Below are 20,679 nucleotides of genomic sequence, written 5' to 3' on the forward strand. Positions count from 1 at the left end.
ACTACCTATTTTACTACATACATTAAAATCAGAATTGTATGAACAACTTTATAACTTTCTAATAAACTTGAAAATGTAGATGAAATTTTAAAATTCCTTGAAAACACAATTTGAACTGATATAAGAAATTGAAAATCTAAATATTGTTTTATTTATTAAAGAAATTAAATCTGTATTAAGGATCTTCTCACAAAAATAATGTCAGGCCAAGAGGATTCAGTAGCAAATTCTCCCAAACATTTAAGAAATTAAAAATGCCAATCAAACTCAACTTGTTCTAGAAAATAGAAAAAAACAAACTATGTCATAAGGCCAGAATAACTGTGATATCAAAACCAGATGAGGATATTACATAAAAGGAAAATTACAATATATCTGTTTCATGAACACAGACGCAAGCATATTAAACCAAATATTAGCAAAGAGAAACCAGTAACATATTGACCAAGAGAGCTTTATTTTAGAAATTCAAAGGCCATTTAATTTAATTTTTTACCATAACCTCAAACAAGTATAAGTTTAATTTTTAAAAAATCAATGTAATCTTTCAATGTTAACTAATAAAGGAGAAAACCATTCAATTATTTCATTAGAAATAATCCATTTAACAATATACAACATTAATCATGATAAAAATTCTCAGCAAACCAGGACTAGAGGGGAACTTCTTTCATCTGATAAAGGGGACCTAAAGAATAAAAACTACAACTACCATTGTACATAAAGGGATCATTATACATAATATGGACCACTGTCTTTCTGATTTCAGGAACAAGGTAAGGTTGTCTACTCTTACATGTCTTTTCAATTTTGTAGTAGAAGACCTATCCAATATTATAAGGAAAAAATAAAAGGTGTAAATGGAAGGAAGTAAAATGATCTTTATTTGCAGATAGTGTAGATTACATGATTATGTACATAAAAATATTTTTTAATTCCACAAGCTTTAAATTAAATAATTTATTGCTGAATAAAGGGTAAAAGTATAAAACAATTATATTAAAGCAAAGCTACTGAAAAATAAAATTTTTAAAACCTTAACAGTTTGTAAAAACATAAAAAATGTAAAACAGGAATAAATTTAACAGATGTGCAAGACCTTTAGACAGGAAACAACAAAACCTTAAGGAAAGAAATTAAAGATGAATTCAATAAATGGAAATGTATTCCATGTTCATGAACTGTAAGACTCAATTTTGAGATAATTCTCTCTAAATTTATCTACTGATTCAATGTACTGCCAACAAAATGTCAGCAGGGCGTTTTGTTTGTTTTGAGAAAATTAATTAACTCATTCTAAAATTATAGAGCAATGCAAAGAACCTGGAATAGACAAAGTGATTTTGAAGAACAAAGTTGTTCTTCAACTTATATTACCAGATTATCAAGATATAATATAAAGCTACAGGAATTAAAATGGAGGTGCTGGCACAAAGATTGACAAAGAGGACCAACGGAAAAGTAGAAAGACTCCTGCACATATATGGGCCCATGCTTTACAGTAAAAGTCTGACTGCAGCTTAAGAGAAGGCCAGTGTTTTTAACAAACGGTGCCAGTGCACTTGGATATCTGTATGAAAAAAATGATTTTGAACTTCATCCCACTACATACACAGATATAAATTCAAGATGGATCATAGGTCTAAGTGTGAAAACAAACAATAAAGATTCTGGAGGAAGAAACAGAAAAATAACTTTGTGGTCTTGGGATAGATAAAATTTTCCTTTTTTTTTGTTTTAACTTTTAATTTCCACTTATTTTAGACTTAGAGAAAAGTTGCAAGAGTAGTACAGAGGGTTCTCATATACCCTTCATTCTAGCGTTTATCTTACATAACCAAAGGATAATTATCAAAACCAGGAAATTAACATTGGTACAATACGAAAAATTTGCACATCTTATTCAAATATGTTTTCCCATTAATGTCCTTTTTCTTTTCCAGGATCCCACACATTAATCTACGTTGCATTTAGCTGTTATTTCTCTTTAGTCTCTTCCGATCTCCTTAGACTTTCTTACTGCATTAATTTTCAGTTGCTACCATAACCAATTACCACGAATTTAGCTTAAAACAACATAAATATATAAAATCTCACAGTTTCCATGGACCTGGAGTTTAGCTGGGTGCTGTCCTCAGGCTGGTCTCACAGGCTGCAAACGAGGGGTTACCTGGGCTGTGTTCTCCTCTGGAGTTCAACTGGGGGAGAATTCATTTCCAGGTTCATTCAGATTGTAGGGAGAATTCATTTCCCTGTGGCCATACGACTGAGGGCCTCACCTTTTTGCTGACTGTTGGCTGGAGGTTGCCCTCAGGTTCTGCAGGCCACCTGCAGTTCCTTTGCAAGATGGGCTTCTCCAACATTGCCACTTACTTCATCAAGCCCACAAAAGAAGTCCAATCTGCTATGAGTCTTATATGGTATAACATAATCACAGTAGAGACATCTCGTCACTTTTTTTTTTCATATGATAGGTTTATTTTTATTATTTTAAGGAACCTTCATACTGTTTTACATAATGGCTATACCAATTGATATTGCCATCAACAGTGTACAAGTGTTCCCTTTCCTCTACATCCTCACCAACACTTATCTATTTTCTTTTCTTTTCTTTTTTTTTTTTGAGACGGAGTCTTGCTCTGTCACCCAGGCTGGAGTGCAGTGGCGCGATCTCAGCTCACTGCAAGCTCCGCCTCCCGGGTTCACGCCATTCTCCTGCCTCAGCCTCCCGAGTAGCTGGGACTACAGGCGCCTGCCACCGTGCCCGGCTAATTATTTTTGTATTTTTAGTAGAGACGGGGTTTCACCGTGGTCTCAATCTCCTGACCTCGTGATCCGCCCGCCTCGGCCTCCCAAAGTGCTGGGATTACAGGGGTGAGCCACCGCGCCCAGCCCACTTACCTACTTTCTTTTTATAATAGTCATCCTAACAGGTATTGTGGTAACATCTCATTGTGGTTTCATTTGCATTTGTCTGATGTGCTTTTCAGGTACCACTTAACCATTTGCGTGTCATCTTTGGAAAAAAGTCTATTCAAGTCCTTGCCCATTTTTAAATTGGATTATTGGTTTCTTTTTCTTCAAAATTAATTAATTCATTTTTATTTTACTTTAAGTTCTGGGATACAGGTGCAGATGTGTAGGTTTTTTACATAGGTATATATGTGTCATGGTGGTTTGCTGTACCTATCAATCTGACATTTAGGTTTTAAGCCCCACATGCATTAGGTAATTTGTCCAGTGCTCTCCCTCCCCTTGCCCCCCAACTCCCCGACAGGCTCCAGTGTGTGTTGTTCCTTTCCCTGTGCCATGTGTTCTCATTGTTCAACCCCCACTTATGAGTGAGAACATGTGGTGCTTGGTTTTCAGTTTCTGCATTAGTTTGCTGAGAATGATGGCTTCCAGCTTCATCCATGTCCTTGCAGAGGACATGATTTCATTCTTTTTTATGGTTGCATAGTATTCCATGGTGTATATGTGCCATATTTTCTTTATCCAGTCTATCACTGATGGGCATTTGGGTTGGTTCCAAGTCTGCAATTGTAAATAGTGCTGCAATAAACATACGTGTACATGTGTCTTTATAGTAGAATGATTTAGAATCCTTTGGGTATATACCCAGTAATGGGAGATTCCTCAAGGAGCTAGAACCAGAAATACCATTTGACCCATGACTTTTGCCATATAAATTAACCTAATGAGAGGAGTGACATTTCCTGACCTTTGCCATTTTCCACTGATTAGAAGCAAGTCACCACCTCTGCTCATACTCCAGGGGAGGGGACTAAACAAGGCTGTGGACTCCAGGAGGTGGGAATCATGGGGCCACCTAACATCTGCCTGTCATACCTATCTTCATGTCCTTTCAATTTGGAAGAGTACCAATAATTTATTCTGTCAAATTTCCCCCCGCTGGGTTTGTATGATGTGTTTTTATAACTGAAATGAGGCATGTATTCTTGGCAGTGGCACAGTAATGATGCTGTGTCTTTCACATTGCATCATCATGTCCAAGGGTGCATGATATCAATGTTTTATTACTGGTGACATTAACCTTCATCACTTGGTTAAAGTGTTTTCTCCTGTGTTTTCCTTCTGTACATTACTACCTTCCCATTTGTAGTTAATAAACATCTTGGGAGGGTAATACTTTAACACTATGCAAATCCTCTTTCTCCTCAAACTTTCACCCACTAACTTTAGCATCTCTTATCTTGGTGTCCAATGTGAGGATACACTGCAGCTCCCCTATGTACATAAGTTCTGCTAATAAACACTTTGAATTGGTCACCCTGGTATTGCTGTTTCTTTCTTTGGAATCCCAACAGCCCCATCCTGGGATGGTTTGGGGCAGTCCCTTTAGGGAACTCCCCTGCCACTGCTTTTGGGGTGACTCCAGCTGAGTGTTCAGCAGGACAAAATAAGGTTGTTTCTGGTATTTGACTACTATGAATAAAACTTCTATGAACACCCTTTACAAGTCTTTGTGTGGACATATATTCTTGTTTTTCTTGGGTATATACCTAAGGGAGGATGTGGTTTACCTAGTTTATCAGACTGCAATGTATATAAGGTCCAGTTGCTCCTCAAACTTGCCAATACTTCGTGTTGTCAGACATTTTAACTTTAGCTATTCTGGTGCATGTGTAGTGGTATCTCATTGTGATTTTTATTTACATTTTCCTGATAATGATGGGAACACCTTTTCATATGATATTATCTATTTTGATATACTATTGGGTCATTCAACTCTTTTCCCCATTTTTTAATTTGATTTGTCATTTTCCTATTGATTTCTAGGAATTTATAAATGTATTTTGAACACAAGTCTTTTGTGTGTGTATACAGACATAAAAAGGAGGGTGGAGGAGGAGAGGGAGGGAGGGAGGAAGGGAAGGGAGGGAGGGAGAGGGAGAGGGAGAGGGAAGGGAGAGGGAGAGGGAGAGGGAGAGGGAGAGACAGAGAGAGAGAGAGAGGAAAGAGTTGCCTGTGTCTTCTTATTCACTTTCTTAATCATGTCTTATTATAAATAGATGTTCTTAATTTTAATGAAGGCCCATCTACTTAGGTATGTCCACAATAAATGGGCTGGGTTATGAAATTTATAAGAGGGCTTAAGAAATTTGGCTCAGGATCACAGCTAGCTTCTGTGTGTTGTGCAACACATTCTGATCTTCCAGTGTTTCAGGCCATAACCTACACAACTTCACTAGTGCCTGGGAATGTTCAAGGCCTTGGCTTGGGTTCAAACCTGCAGGGAAAACATGCAGCTGAACAGGTCACAGAGAGATCAAGGCGCTCTGTGAAACATAGAGAGCGAGGGAAACTTGGGGAACCTACAAACCTATCATCATGAGAATGAATAAAAAATTGTGGTGTGGTCATATAAAGGAAGATTATATAACAATTGAAAAAAAGCCCTGTTGATTTCCAAAACAACATGGGTGAATTCCAGAAGTACCAGTTTGGATGAAAAAAGAGAGATACAAGAGATTCCATTTATATGAAGTTCAAGAACACGCAAATCTTATCTTGAGTGACAGGAGTCAGAATAGCACTTACTCCTTATGGGAGAACAGTGGATTCTAACTAGGACAGGACACAGAAAAATCCTCTAAAGCAGGGCACAGAAATCTTCTGTGTCTTCATCTGGCTGGTGAGTACACTGATCCTTTCAAATACAAAAATTCATTGGATTATATATATAGCTAAGATGTGGGCACCTTATTGTATATGATACATGCTTCAATAAAAAGTGATGACAGAACTTTATTTGATGATAATGAGTAAAAATATTACATTACAAACTGTTATTCTGTTATGGTGGGTAAAATAACACATATGAATATATGCATATGCCTTGAGGGATGGAGATATACATATATATATTGTGTGTGTGTGTGTGAGACAGGGACTCACTCTGTCACTCAGCCTGGAATGTGGTGGTGCAAACACGGATCACTGCAGCCTCGACCTCCTGGGTTCAAGCTATGCTCCCGTCTCAGGTGGTGGCATGGACCTGTAGCTGGGACTACAGGTGCATACTACCAGACCCGGCTAATTTATTTTTAGTAAAGATGAGCTCTCATTATGTTGCCCAGGCTGGTCGCACACTCCTGGGCTCAAGTGATCCTTCTGCCTCGGCCTCCCAAAGTGCTGAGATTACAGGCATGAGCCACCGTACCCAACCAAAAAGATCTGGAGTAAAATGTTTACAGTTGTTGTTTCCTCACTTTGGGTTTTTCTGTATTTTCTGAACTACTATATGAGAATGTATTACTTTTATAGTAAAAAATGATAATAGAGCTAATCAATCTAATATTAGAGAATGTAATAAAATAAGTTATGAATACAGTGATATTTGGAGTACGGTGAGGAGGCCTTGTTTTCTCCCAAGTCCTAAAGTCTTTGAGTTGTCTCAAATTAGAATATCAAGGCTCTGAGTTTTGAATACTGATATACAACAGTTTTCCTTTTACTGGTTTTCCCTAAGTCACTTGGATAAATCCTCTTGTCACTACACTCTCCACCTATGAGGACTGGACTCCCTGCTCCAGTTCAGGAATTGCACCTACCTTAGAAATAAGCCATTTTGGTTAAAAAATCAATTGTTTCCAACATGCAGGAAATATCTGCATATGAAAAAAGAAATGGGACTTTGGCATGCTGAGGCTTTTGAAAAATTCCAGTACAATCCTGTGGCAGAGAGGTTCCATACAAGAAAGGCCAAATGAAAGCCACCCGAGGGACCAAGAAAATGATGCTTCAAGGAAAACAGAATGGAATGATCAATGAATCTCAAAGAAATCCTTCATAAATTCAAACACTCCAGGGCCTCTCTAGAGGGTCACATTAAGGGATAAAAAAGCTCTAGAAATCATATTTTGAATTTAAAGAGTTGATCATAAAGAGTCTGCTCCTGTAGCTTTTCAGTATCACAATCATTTACAAGTCCGTCTGAAATAGTGCAGTGATCAGTGCTCCACACAGTAGAGGATGCTGCCACGTTCTCAGATGTTACTATCTCTGAAATTATAAAGACTGAAGTTCCCATGTGGCCCAGAGGAATAGAAAGAAGTGAGCTGATCACTCTATGAAAGGAGAACAGCATGTAGAAGCAGGCATTCTCACCATTCTGAGCTCAGCAACAGCTGATTAATTAAATATGTAACAGGGCATCCATATAATGAAATATTAAGCAACCATTTAATGCTAAGTTTAGGAAGCTGTTTAAGGGAATAAAAACATTCAAGTTACATTGTCAGTGAAGAAAATTAGGTTACAACTTTTAAAAAAGCAATTAAAAAGGGGGCAAAGAATTTGAATAGACATTTCTCCAAAGATGTACAAACGGCCAATAAACAAAGGAAAAAATGCTCAACACCATGAGTCATCAGAGAAATTCAAATCAAAACCACAATACCCACTTCACACTCATGAGGATGACAATAATAAAAAGAAAGGTAATAACAGGTGTTGCTAAGAATGTGGAGAAACTGGAACCCTCTTACGCTGGGGGGAATGTAAAGGGATACTTTCGATAATAATCTGGCAGTTCCTCAAAAGAGTTACCATATGACCCAGCCATTCCACTTCTAAGTATATATCTAAGAGAAATAGAAACATATGTCTATACAAAAACTTGTACACAAATGTTCACAGCAGCATTATTCATAATAGCTAAAAGTAGAAACAACTTAAATGTCCATTAACTGATGAATAAACAACAAAAATGTGGCATATTCATACAATGGAATATTATTCAGCAATAAAAAGAAACAAAGTACTGATATATGCTACAACCCAGATGGATTTTGAAAACGCTAGGCTAAGTGAAAGAAGCCAGTCACAAAACTTCACTTATTATATAACTCTATTCATATGAAATGTCCAGAAGAGGTGAATTCAGAGACAGAAAGTAGATAAATGGTTGTCTATGGCTGGGGAAAATGCAGAGTGAGTGCTAGTGGGTATGGAATTTCTTTTTGAGGTTATGGAAATTTTCTCATGTTGACAGTGGTGATGGTTGCACAACTCTGTGAATATATTAAATACATTAAACTGTATACTTTAAATGACTGAATTTTGTGGCATGTGAATTATATGTTAATAAAGCTGTTTAAGAATTGGGTTACGGGCCGGGCACAGTGGCTCATGCCTGTAATCCCAGCACTTTGGGAGGCTGAGGCGGGTGGATCCATGAGGTCATGAGATCGAGACCAGCCTGACCAACATGGTGAAACCTCGTCTCTACTAAAAATAGAAAAATTAGCTGGGCGTGGTGGCATGGGCCTGTAATCCCAGCTACTCGGGAGGCTGAGGCAGGAGAATTGCTCGAACCTGGGAAGCGGAGGTTGCAGTGAGCCGAGATCGCGCCACTGCACACCAGCCTGGTGACGGAGCGAGACTCCGTCTAAAAAAAAAAAAAAAAAAAAAAAGAATTGAGTTACAAATGTATACAATTATGCAAATGTAAATATGATTACATTTATAAAATATATGTATTTATCAATATATAGAGAAAAACGGACAGACATCAATAAATTGAAAAAAGTATGGAAAACATAAACCCATATATTAACTTACTTAATATTTGTTTTATAGTCCTGGGTTTCTGCCTATTCCTAAAAGTATATTTCATAAAATTAAAACTTTTTTTAAAAAGGCAACTATCTTACTTATTCCTATTTTGATTTATTCTTCCTTACTGGGATACCAAGTCATTTGAGGATAGCAACTATATCTTTTTGTCTTGAGACACAGTTAGATAGATTTTTGAATTTTTAACAGAGCAATCTTTTCTCTGAACAAGTGGGAAAAAATCCTCCCTGCCTTACCTTTTAAATATCTTTTGATCTGGAGGAGAAAACTTAGTATACTCTAGAACAAAGGTCCTCTAAATATAGTCCCTGGGAACTTGTTACCAATGCAGATTCTCTGCTCTACCTCAGACCTACCGAATTAGAAACTCTGGGGCTGGGGCCCAGCAAACTGTTTGAACAAGCCCTGCAGGTGATTCTGATGCATCCTACATTTGAGAACCAGCGCTGCTCTAAAAACTGCTGCTGTGTTTTATTGAAAGCTTTTACTTTATTTTCATCAGTTCCCATTACCTGAACCCACCCTATGATTCGTTTGCCTGTAGAAATGTATGTCAATGTAAATCGGAGACTCTGATATTTCGTATGCATTACTGGTAGTCTCAAAGCTGCTTCCTATTATACATTCCTGATAGATGGGTTTATTTTACTTCTGAATCTATCCTCCTAATCACAGTGTCCTACAAGCAGCTGTTAAGACATCGTGTTCCATTTAATGTCACTTTGCATTTAACATCATTAGAATAAAAACTCTAAGGTATAAGATCCATTTTCTTTCACTGAGTTCTCACAGTTCGATCATATCCTGACAATGCTGCTATAGCCAGAAAGATGCCTCTTCCCTGTGAACTCCCAAGACAGGTCATCTGAATTTCTCTAGTGGCCTTTCACATCAACTATCTTTCTTATCCCTATTCCGATTTCATTTTCCTTACTGGATACCAAGTCATTTGAGGATAGCAACTATATCTTTTTGTCATTGTATCCTAACAAGTACAAGCACATGGTAAATATCTGATATTTGACTCAAATTTTGAAACTAGGGTTTATCCTCAGGGAATGGCTATAAAAGGAAGCAAAGATCTCTGCAAAATGGTGTTCATTATAGACTAGTTTTTAGTCAACAATTAGAAACATAATAGCTCGCAGTAGGCAAAAGGTTAAATAAATTATGAAGAGAAGGGCTTAAGGGCCTTGAAAGGAGGCTGTAATGGCATATTCACAGATACGTCACTGTTAGGCAGGACATTTCCAAAGAGAAGAAAGGGTCTCATGTCTTTAAAATTAAAGAGCATCTTACAAGTAATGAGGAAATATAAACTCACCTGGACTTTAGCTTTCAGATGTGTAGCAAAAATTCTTTCCTCTTTCAGGATCTTTTTTTTTTTTTTTTTTTTAACAGAAGGGTAGCACTGGAAAAGAGAAGGCAATCATGAGACAGCTGGGGTTTCTTGGATAGCACAGTAACTTAGAAAATACCCTCAATGATCATACCTGCTCACCTACTTCACCGAGCACAACCAGATGGGAGTAGGAGAGAAACTGGAACAGTGTTGACCTTCCCAATACAAGAGAGGCCAAGATCAGTGATGCCTAGGGTGGAATCTGTCTCTAATTCACAGCAGGTTCCTGGGGCTGGAGCTTTAGAAATGCTATGGTTACAAACATAGAGCTGGCTCCTCGGCGCTTCCAAGGGGGAAATATCCAGGAGGGATGCCTATTCCTGAGAACTCTTTATCGAGTCTTCTCAGAGCCTGCCTTGAGGCCGCAACCAATTTCAAAAATCTCGTCTCAAGATCAAGTCTGTGTTTTCTTGCTGGGATCCTTCACGCCTCCATGAATCTGGCTTCTCTCTTTTACCTGCTGCACATCCCAAGTGTCTGTGAGGCGATAGGGCTGAGGAATCTGCAGAGCCTAGAGCCTGGAGTCACAGTGACAATTCACACAGGTACACAACACTGTTCATTTGTCTAACGCACACACACGTACACAACCCTGTTCATTCATCTCACACACACACACACACACACACACACACACAGTCTCTCACAGGCACACAGAAACTCCTCCTCTGCTGCTCAAGCAGACAGGCCTGAAATTCTACTGAAACTCCAGGGATGACACGCCCCGTTCACGCCCTGGGTCTTCTGGTCTTCAGCGCCTCTCATCCTCACCGCCGGTTCCATTCCAACCAGGGACTGTGGAAGCCTCCGCTGATTTCTGTGGAGACGATCTACTCACCACGTAGGGGCTACAGCAGCTCGGACACCGGAAAAAGATCTAGAGCTCGAGGGTGACCCTAGCGCGGTGACTTCTGGGAAATGTAGTCCACCCGGAATAACCATGTCCACGGCGCCCGCCATTCTGTAGCCTATGCTCGGAGGGCACATGAGCAAGAGCTTGACCATCTGTACCGTTGGTTGACTTGCTCTATTAAGGGCTATGATTTCAGGTCGTCCTGCGTGTTTAGAGGAGGCGAGTGGAATCTTGAGTCTCGGCTGGAGAAGGCAGAGCACGGGCATGCAGACCTCAAAGCCTCAAACCTGCGTGTGAGAGGAGAAGTTGGCGAGCTCCAGCGTATGGTCCACGGTTGGTATTCTAGGTGCGAGCTGAGGACAGGGGCTTTTGTTTTTCGCGCTCCCAGGTAGCGCCAGCACCTATAGTAGCTCCAGGAGCACAGAAGGCGTTAAGTGTGCATTGGTTTTAGAGAAAGAATGCCTGTGCGTTTTGTGTTTTCACTCTGTGACATTGTGAAATTCATTGTGTGAGAACATGGATGGGGTTGTATTCCGGATTATGGTTTGTTTCTAAGTGTGTTACTTTGGACATGAAATGGTTTGTTTCAGATTTTGAGATTATGTAAATTTTTTAAGCCCTCTCCCTTCACTCCTACTCCCACTCTGAAATTTCTCATGCCCAATTGCCATTCTCTCACTTAAAATACGAGTCTGGCTGATTTGTCCAAGGTAAATACTACTATGGCCTACTTATCCATTAGGCTGAATGGGCAAAGTACCGAGAGCCCACAGAAATGTTTTCTTTCAAAATAAGAAAATGAATTTTAAGGTCAAAGAAACTTAATATCGTAGTCTACTGGCGAGTGTATAAATTGATATAATCACTTGGGAAAACTATTTGGCAAGATCTATTGAATTTGAATATATGCATTTGCTATAACCTAGCAGTTCCATTCTTACCTTTAACCCAAATGTAAGTGTATACATATTCACCAAAATACATGAATGGGGATGTTTGTGGCATTGCCATTTTTATTGGAATTGCACTCAATATATGGGTACTTTTCAGGAAAATTGGTATTTTAAACATTGTGAAAAGGCTGGGCGTGGTGGCTCATGCCTGTAATCCCAGCACTTTGGGGGGCTGAGGTGGGTGGATCACTTGAGGTCAGGAGGTCGAGACCAGCCTGGCCAACATGGCAAAACCCCGTCTCTAGTAAAAATACAAAAATTAGCCAGGTGTGGGGGCCCGTGCCTGTAGTCCCAGCTACTTGGGAGGCCGAGGCAGGAGAATCGCTTGAATCCAGGAGGTGGAGGTTGCAGTGAGCCGAGATCGTGCCACTGCACTCCAGCCTGGGAGAAAGTGTGAGATTCTGTCTCCCCCTACAAAAAAAGAAAAAGAAAATTGAGAAGGGACCTCCAGGAAGATGGAATAGATGTACTTTTTTCTATTTGTCCAGCTAAGTACAATAAAAACCCTGGGCATTAGTTATAAAAAAAGAGAAAAAGAACACTGAGTGGTAGAGAAAAGGTAGACTGGTGCTGAGTTCCCTTGATTTTCTTTGTGCCTCCTTTGTGCCAGACTTAAAGCCAAAGAAGCTAGCAGTCCCAATACACCAATGGGCACAGACAAAAAAGTCCCAGCAAAAGCCTGCTGTCTTTAGCCAAAAGACAAGGAAGAGGGCAGCCTAGCAAGAAGGAAAACTTTTAGACAATTACTGCCATGCTCTAGTCAAAACACCACAGGAAAAACCTTCAGCACTATCCCCAGCATGCCAGCAAAGACCCATGCTTCCACTCTTGCCTGGAGAGTTAGGACTTTCCTCCCCACCCCTCAACCCAGTGCTAACAGTAGAAGCCACATGGAGTGCAGTAATAAGGCACTCCTTTCCCTCCAAATTAGAAAGGTATCAGTGGAGGTCTAGTGGGAAACCGGAACTCCCACCCCTGCCACTAGTAATGAGGAGCCCCCCTGTGGGTATCAATGGAGGCTGAGTGGGAAATCTGGATTTCTGTCACCACCTAATAATAATGAGGCAGGATCCACTTCCCCTACCACAGTGATGTCAGAGGAGAACAGGTGATATAAACTGAATTGTGTACTCCACTCCCTGAGTTCATATGTTGAAGTCCTAACTCTCAGTACCTCAACATGTGGACTGTATTTGGAGATAAGGTCTTTAAAGAGGTAATTAAGGTTAAATGAGGTCTTTGGTGTGGGCCCTAATCCAGTATGACTGGTATCCTTATAAGAAGAGGAGATCAGGACACAGATACACAAAGGGTGTGTGAAGGTAGCACGTTTACCAGAAGAACATGGCCATCTACAAGCCAAAGAGAGAGACCTCACAAGAAACAATACTGCTGACACCTTGATATCAGACTTCTACCCTTCAGAACTGTAAGGAAATTAATTGGTGTTGTTTAAGCTGCCCAGTCGGTGGTACTTTGTTAGGTATGATCCAGAGCCTCAGATCAGAAAACCAAAAATGTTCAGTTCTAACAGAAAATCACTTACCACACCAAGAACTGGGAAGATCTCAAACTGAATGAAAAAGACTCAATAGATGCCTACACTAGGATGATAGAAATATTTGAACTATTTGACAAGAATTTTAAAGCATCCACCTTAAAAATGCTTCAGACAATAATTATGAACATGCTTGAAATAAATTAAAATATAGAATGTCTCAGCAAAGAAATCAAAGATATAATGGAACACCAAGGAATTTTGACTCCTGAGAAATTTAGTAACCAATTAAAAACTCATTGGATGTACTCAGCAGCAGAAAGGAAAGAACAGAGGAAAGAATCAGGAAACTGGAAGACAGAACAGTAGAAATGACCCAGAATGAACAACAGACTGGATAAAAGACCAAAAACACAAAAATGTGTAAAACTCTACAGAAATTGACATAACAATTATAGTTAAACATAGTAATACTCTGCTGACAATTGATAGATGAAAAATCAATAAGGACAGAGAAAACTTGAACAATATTATCAACCAATTAAATTTAATTGACATTAACATTCTGCCAAACAGCAGCAAATTGCCCAATTTTTCCAAGTACATATGTCAAGATAGGCCATAACCTGGACCATGCAACAAATCTCAAAAGCTTTATAAGGATTCAAGTTATATAAAATACATTCTCTATTCCACAATGGAATTAAATTAGGAATCAATAACAAAAAGATAGCAGGAACTAAATAACTTTTTTTTTTTTTTTTTGAGACAGTCTTGCTCTGTCACCCAGGCTGGAGTGTAGTGGCACAGTCTTAGCTCACTGCAACCTCCACCTCCTGAGTTCAAGCGATTTTCCTGCCTCAGCTTCCCAAGTAGCTGGGACTACAGGTGTAAGCTGTACACCAGGCTAATTTTTGTATTTTTAGTAGAGACAGGGTTTCGCCATGTTAGCTAGGCTAGTCTCCAACTCCCTAGTGACCTGCCCTTCTGGGCCTCCCAGAGTGCTGGGATTACAGGTGTGAGTCACCACACCCGGCCAGCATTTCAGAGTCTATAGGTCAAATAAAATAAAATAAAAAATAAAAACAACATATCAAAACATATAGGATGTAGATAAAATAAGACTTCAAGGAAAATTTATAGCATTAAATGCCTATATTAAAAGAGAAGAGTGTCTCAGTGACTGATATGGTTTGGGTTTCAGATGCTCTTCTTTTTCTCTTGTTTCTTAAGATAAACACTGTATTCGTCCATCAGTGACTGATATGGTTTGGATCTGTGTCCCCACTAAATCTCATGTCAAATTGTAATCCCCAGTGTTGACGGTAGGGCCTGGTGGGAGGTGAATAGATCGTGGGTGTGGAGTTCTCATGAATGGTTTAGCACTATCCGCCTTTGGTACTGTATAGTGAGTGAATTCTCAGGAGATCTGGTTGTTCGAAAGTACATGGCACCTCCTCCCTTGCTCTCTTCCTCCTGCTCCAGCCATGTGATTTGTGCCATAAGTAAAAGCTCCTTGAGACCTCCCCAGAAGCAGAAGCCACTGTGTTTCCTGTACAGCCTGCAGCACTGTGAGCAACTAAACCTCTTTTCTTTATAAATTACTCAGTCTTAGGGATTTCTTTATAGCAGTGTGAGAACAGACTAATATAGTGACCTAAGCTTTTACCTTAAGAAACAAGAAAAAAAGAACATCTGAAACCCAAAGTAGGCAGAAGGAAACAAAAAAAAGAGAGAAATCCATGAAATGTGCACACCTGTTCATGATAAAAAACACATTCAACAAATTAGAAATGGAAGGGAACTTCTTCAACATACCACCTATAAAACACCCACAGCCAATATCATACTTAATGGTGAAAGACAGAGTACTTTCTAAGATCAGGGACAAGACAAAGATGTGCACTCTCACCACTTTTTTTTTTTTTTTTTTTTTTTGAGACAGGAGTCTTGCCCTGTTGCCCAGGCTGGAGTACAGTGGCGCGATCTCAGCTCACGGCAACCTCCGCCTTCCGTGTTCAAGGGATTCCCCTGCCTCAGCCTCCTAGTAGCTGGAATTAAAGGCACCTACCACCACGCCCGTCTAATTTTTGTATTTTTAGTAGAGATGGGGTTTCACCATGTTGCCCAGGCTGGTCTTGAACTCCTGACCTCAAGTGATCTCCCTGCCTCAGTCTCTCAAAGTGCTGGAATTACAGGCATGAGCCACCACGCCCAGCCAACTCTCACCACTTCTATTTGATACATGCTGGAGGTTCTAGCCAGGGCAACTAGGCAAATAAATGAAATAAGAGACATCCATATGGAAATGAAGAAGTACAATGAAGAAGTAAAGCTATATTTGCAGATATGATTTTATATACATAAAGTCCTAAGGAAATCACAAAAAACTAATAAGACTAGTAAATGAGTTCAGCAAAGTTACAGGAAGATCAATATGCAAAAAAATTGTGTTCTTACACACTAGCAATGAATAATCAAAAAATGAAAGTAGGAAAACAATTCCATTTACAACAGAATTTGAAGAAAATACTTAAGGAATAAAGTTAACAAATGAAGAGGAAAGTTTGTACACTGAAAATTATAAAACATCATTGAAAGAAATTAAAGACGACCTAAATAAAAGGAAAGACATCTGTGGTTCATGGATAAGAAAAGTTAATATTGTTAAGATGCCAATACCTCCCAAATTGACCTATGGATTCAATGCAGTCCTTAACAATATCCTAGCTGGCTCCCCCCTCCCAACCCCACTGCCTCTAGAAATTGACCAGCTGATCCTAAATTCATATGGAGACACAAGGGACCCAAAATAACCAAAACAACTTTAGAAAGGAAGAACAAAGTTGGAGGACTCGCATTTCCCAATTTCAAAAGTTACTGGAAAACTACAGTGTGGTACTGGCACAAGGGTAGACATAGAGATGAGTGGAATAGATTTAAAAGTCCAGAAGTAAGTCTTGACACTGTCGATTCATTTTCAATAAGGGTGCTACGGCCATTTAGTAGGGGAAAGAATAGTCTTCTCAACAAATTATGGTAAGACAACTGGATATCTGTCTGCAAAGAAAGAATGAAGTTGGAATTCTACTTTATACCATACACAAAAATTAACTCACATCACTGACCTAAATCCTATAGGAGCTAACACTATAAAACTCTTCAAAGACAACACAGGGGCAAATCTTCATGAGCTTGGAATAGGCAATGATATTTTGGATACACCAAAAGCATAAGCAAAACAATAAATAGGAGTATATCAAAATTCAAACTTTTTACTGCAAATGATACCATCAAGAAAGTGACAAGATACCCACTGAATGGGAGACAATATTTGCCCATCATACATATGACAATGGACTTGTATCTAGAATACAAAAACTCTTAGAACTCAACAATAAAAAAAAAATGGATAATCCAATTTCTGGAAGTCAGTCAGATTTCTGGGATGATCACTCCCATCCTCACAACAACAACAACAACAAAAAAAACTAAAGAAATTAATTTTTTCTGGATCTGTCAGATAATAGAGGTCACAAGGCAAACCACCAGCCTTAAATCTGGAGAGACAAGCAAACGGAGATCAGCTTACTTGGAGCAGAAGGACCAAGGTAAGACCATTTAGGCGGGGAAAGAATATTGGTAACTAAGTGTTACCAATAACACTGCTAATTAAGTATTACCAGCTAATTGGTAATATTTACTAGCAGTGTAATTAAGTATTACCAGCTAATTGGTAACTAAGTGTTGGTAACTAAGTGTTACCAATTAGTTGATAACAAGTAATTAGCAATGCTATTGGTAGGAGCGCTTAATTGGTAATTTAGAGAATTCATTGGAGGCTAGCTTCAAAAATCTTCCAGGGACGCAGTCTTAGGGGGAGCCTCACACTTTCATGGAATTTACGTCCAGTAATGCTACTAGGTTCTCATGGTGAATTTACAAGAAAAATCTCATGTTTTGGAGGAGGACAAAAGTAACTATTTTGAAATACACTGAGAGTGTTCCACATAACAAAGGACTGCTATCCAAGGGAAATGACTTTATCAGATACTTATATAACTGGGGAGAAAGGCAATATGTCAACTCGCCTTCCTGTCTTACCTAAGGGGAAAACAGAAAGACTAAGAACTGCGTCTGAAGATCACAGGCCAGGGACTCAGGCCCACTAAAAGACAGATTAAATCATATGATTGTAGAACACTTCCCCTCTCCCCACACTTTACCACCATATCAATAGGATTCTTGTATAACAACAGGATAATAAAAGTGAGAAGGCTGCAAGACACAGATTCTATTTTTAAAGTTCTTAGGGAAATTCAAAGACAACAGGGAAGGAAAAAGAAGGGACACTACAGAAAGGTAAAACTGAAACCTCTGACACCTTCAGCTAAATCAAACATTAAACACAGCCCAACACCTAGCCAGATTAACATAAAACCTCACACTTAACTGAAGCTCCCACATTGCCTGCTATATAGCTGTCTACAGCTGTGTATTCTCCTGTCCTGCACAATGTAATCACACTCTGCAAGAAGCTAAAGCTTACTGGCAGGCCCTTACTTATCTAGGTATATCCAAACTCTGATGAATGACGGCACACAGGGACCTACCATTGCCAATGACCTACTCTTCTGCATCAAGGAACTGCAGATTAGATTTGTCCTTGTCCCATTCTATTGGCTCCTCATGTGATGCCCTTTTGGTGTAAGCCAATGCCCTACAAACTAGCCAACTTACACCCATTGGTGCCACACCACTTAATTTCATCCTTTGGGTGAAATGACCCCTACACAAAAGCCTTTAAAACTATACTTCCCTTCATGCTTAACAGTTGGGACCTGGACATGATAACTACCCCTCTGTGGTCTCCACAGTGACCTCCACAACCACATCAGCGCCAGTCCCATTGTCCAACAATCCATGCTTCACTCTGCACTATTCCTTCATCATGACACCACATCCTACTTTCTTCAACTTGCCAGATAATACATGTGAAACAGTAACAGAACATGTCATCCAAGAGATAAAACTCCAACAATGCTGGGCCTGCCAGCAGGCGTCCCAACCTGGGTAACCACTCGTACAACTGATTTCCACACTCTTGGAGGTATGTGATATCCATACTACTAACCAGTCGCCATCCTCTCTGGTCACCCTCCAGCTCCTTTACTTCCCCAGGCACCCTCAACCTCATCAGGTTCTTCCTCTGAATTTTTCCTTCACAGTCCCACCTTTCCTGCCCTCTGTCAACGATTGATATTATATAAAGCCATTGAAAGTACAAGGGCCTCACACGTATGCACTGGTGAATGCCCTTCCCATAAAAGGGGATACCAGGCCACCTTTTTGTATATTATAAATTGGGCCTCATCACAATCTTTGGTATAACAGGCATAAGTCTAGATCTTTTCAGTTCTGTAGCAGACTTCATTCTTAGAGCTGCCAGCCAAACAACGTCACAATTCCTGGCAGACCATATGTACCAAACAGCCCAAGATTTAGAAGCCCTTAATGAGATAAAGCTCTGTAGCTGTCATGGTAGTTGATAAAATACTGCATTAGACTAACTAGTGGCATCTCAAGGTGGCCCTCTGAAGGGAACCTCTGGCTGTGTGAAGGTCAGTAAAAACAGGAAAGCTCTCCAGAATCGTTCAGTAGATAACAAACCAAAACAGTCAACGAAGTTACTAAGTTACTAAAATGTGGCAAGAGTTTCTGAATCCCTATTTCTTCTCCTGACTGCTTCCTTCTGCCTGGATTAACATTATCTGGCACCACATTATCTTTCAGGGAGCTATTATAATTGCTGGCCTAATTTTATTGGGTCAACTTTGCATATTTGGCCTCTCTCAAATGCAAGTTTATTTATAGGAAACCTAGGAGTTTGCTGTGCTAACCCAAACATCAGGGGTGAATTGTGAAGACTGGAGGAAACTTGGTGTTTGACTTAGTGCAAGCCACCTATAAGCATCTCTTGCCTATGTCCAGTCTCCCTCACAATCCTGATGAGGTTCACTTACTGCTCCACAAGTGCATATGCCCTCCACCACCTCTTTTAAACTGTGTGCTGGCAGGACATCCCCTTTTATAAACTGCCTGAACATTGACTATTCTGTTTTGGATCTTTTCTTGGACAGCCCTCCCACCCCGTAATCATCTTTCTTTGATCATTCCAAAGGACTACCGTCAGGAGTTTGACATACAAACCTAACCTTGGAAGGAGTTTCGACATTCAAACCTAACCTTGGAAGGAGTTTCCCCACATCATAGTAGAGGTGCTGTAATAGGCATATAGATTGGGAGGGAAAAACATTTTTTTTTTTTTTTGCAGATGACAAGATTGTCTACACAGAAAATCCCAAGCAATCAATAGAACAGCTACTTAAACCAATACTAAGTTTAGCAAGATCATAGGACACAAGGTCAACATAAAACAATCAACTATATTGAAAAAGAACAATTGGAAATTGAAATTTGAAAAACAGTACTAATTTAGAACCCTAAAAAAGGAATATGTAGGTATAAATCTAATAAAGTGTGTGCAGAATCTATATGTTAAAACTACAAATTACTGATGTAATAAGGGAGTCCTAAATAGGCAGATACTGTGTGTATGGTTTAGAACATTCTCAGTATTGCTAAAATGTCAGTTGTCCCCAAACTCATCTATATATTCATTGCAATCTCAATAAAAATCCCAGCAAATTATTTTTACAGATGACAAAGCTGATTCTGGAAATTATGGCAAGACAAATTTGATAGCCAAAATAAAATAATGAGTTGGAAGACTCACAGTATCTGGTTTCAAGACATTATATACAGATACAAAAGTCAAGATGTGCAATATTTGGCAAAATGATAGACACATAAATCAATGAAACTGCACTGAGGCCAGAAAAAGACCCATACATGTATGGTTAATGGATTCACAAAGGTGCCATGGCAATACTGAAAGAATTGGATTCTCATATGCAAATAGTGGACCTCCCTTATATAAAGATTCACATCTTATATAAATACTAACTCAAATATATCATAGACCTAAATATAAAGCCTGAAAACATAAAATTTGTGATAAAAAAGTGGGAGAAAATCTTTGTGACCTTGGATTAGGCAGAGTTCTTATATTTGAAACCAAAAGCACAATCCATCAAAGACAAAAAAGGAACTTCATTAAAAAAAATTTCTTGTGTGAAAAATACTGTTAATGGAATAAAAACACAAGCCACATAATGGTATACAATATTTGCAAAACACATAACTGACAAAGATATCTATCCAGAACATATAAAGAACTCTCAAAAATCAATAAGAAACAATCCAGGTTTTAAAAAAATGGACAAAAGATTTGAACATAGTTCACAAAAGA

At 39.1% G+C, this 20,679-nt stretch overlaps 2 long non-coding RNA genes across 2 annotated transcripts in view, besides 1 other annotated feature; one reads left to right on the forward strand and one right to left on the reverse strand.

Moving 5' to 3' along the window:
• Positions 1 to 861: 861 nt before the first annotated feature.
• On the reverse strand, positions 862 to 10,861 carry LOC100505715 (uncharacterized). The gene is made up of 3 exons (NR_038334.1): positions 10,095 to 10,861; positions 9,926 to 10,012; positions 862 to 2,198 (listed from the first exon to the last, which is right to left on the reverse strand). It is a non-coding gene; the product is annotated as an uncharacterized LOC100505715 (long non-coding RNA).
• Positions 10,795 to 10,864: an enhancer, noted in NCBI's record as "active region_14745". NCBI's record gives its function as "activates an Ori minimal core promoter by ATAC-STARR-seq in GM12878 lymphoblastoid cells {active_cell/tissue: GM12878}" and the evidence as "EXISTENCE:reporter gene assay evidence [ECO:0000049][PMID:35858748]".
• ZNF45-AS1 (ZNF45 antisense RNA 1) overlaps positions 10,924 to 20,679 on the forward strand; it is a 33,949-nt gene continuing 24,193 nt past the window's right edge. Inside the window, exon 1 of the long non-coding RNA NR_184050.1 lies at positions 10,924 to 11,202. This is a non-coding gene — a long non-coding RNA (ZNF45 antisense RNA 1). The remainder of the gene's footprint in view (positions 11,203 to 20,679) is intronic.

Source organism: Homo sapiens, chromosome 19, assembly GCF_000001405.40.
Source record: "Homo sapiens chromosome 19, GRCh38.p14 Primary Assembly".
Classification (NCBI taxonomy): domain Eukaryota; kingdom Metazoa; phylum Chordata; class Mammalia; order Primates; family Hominidae; genus Homo; species Homo sapiens.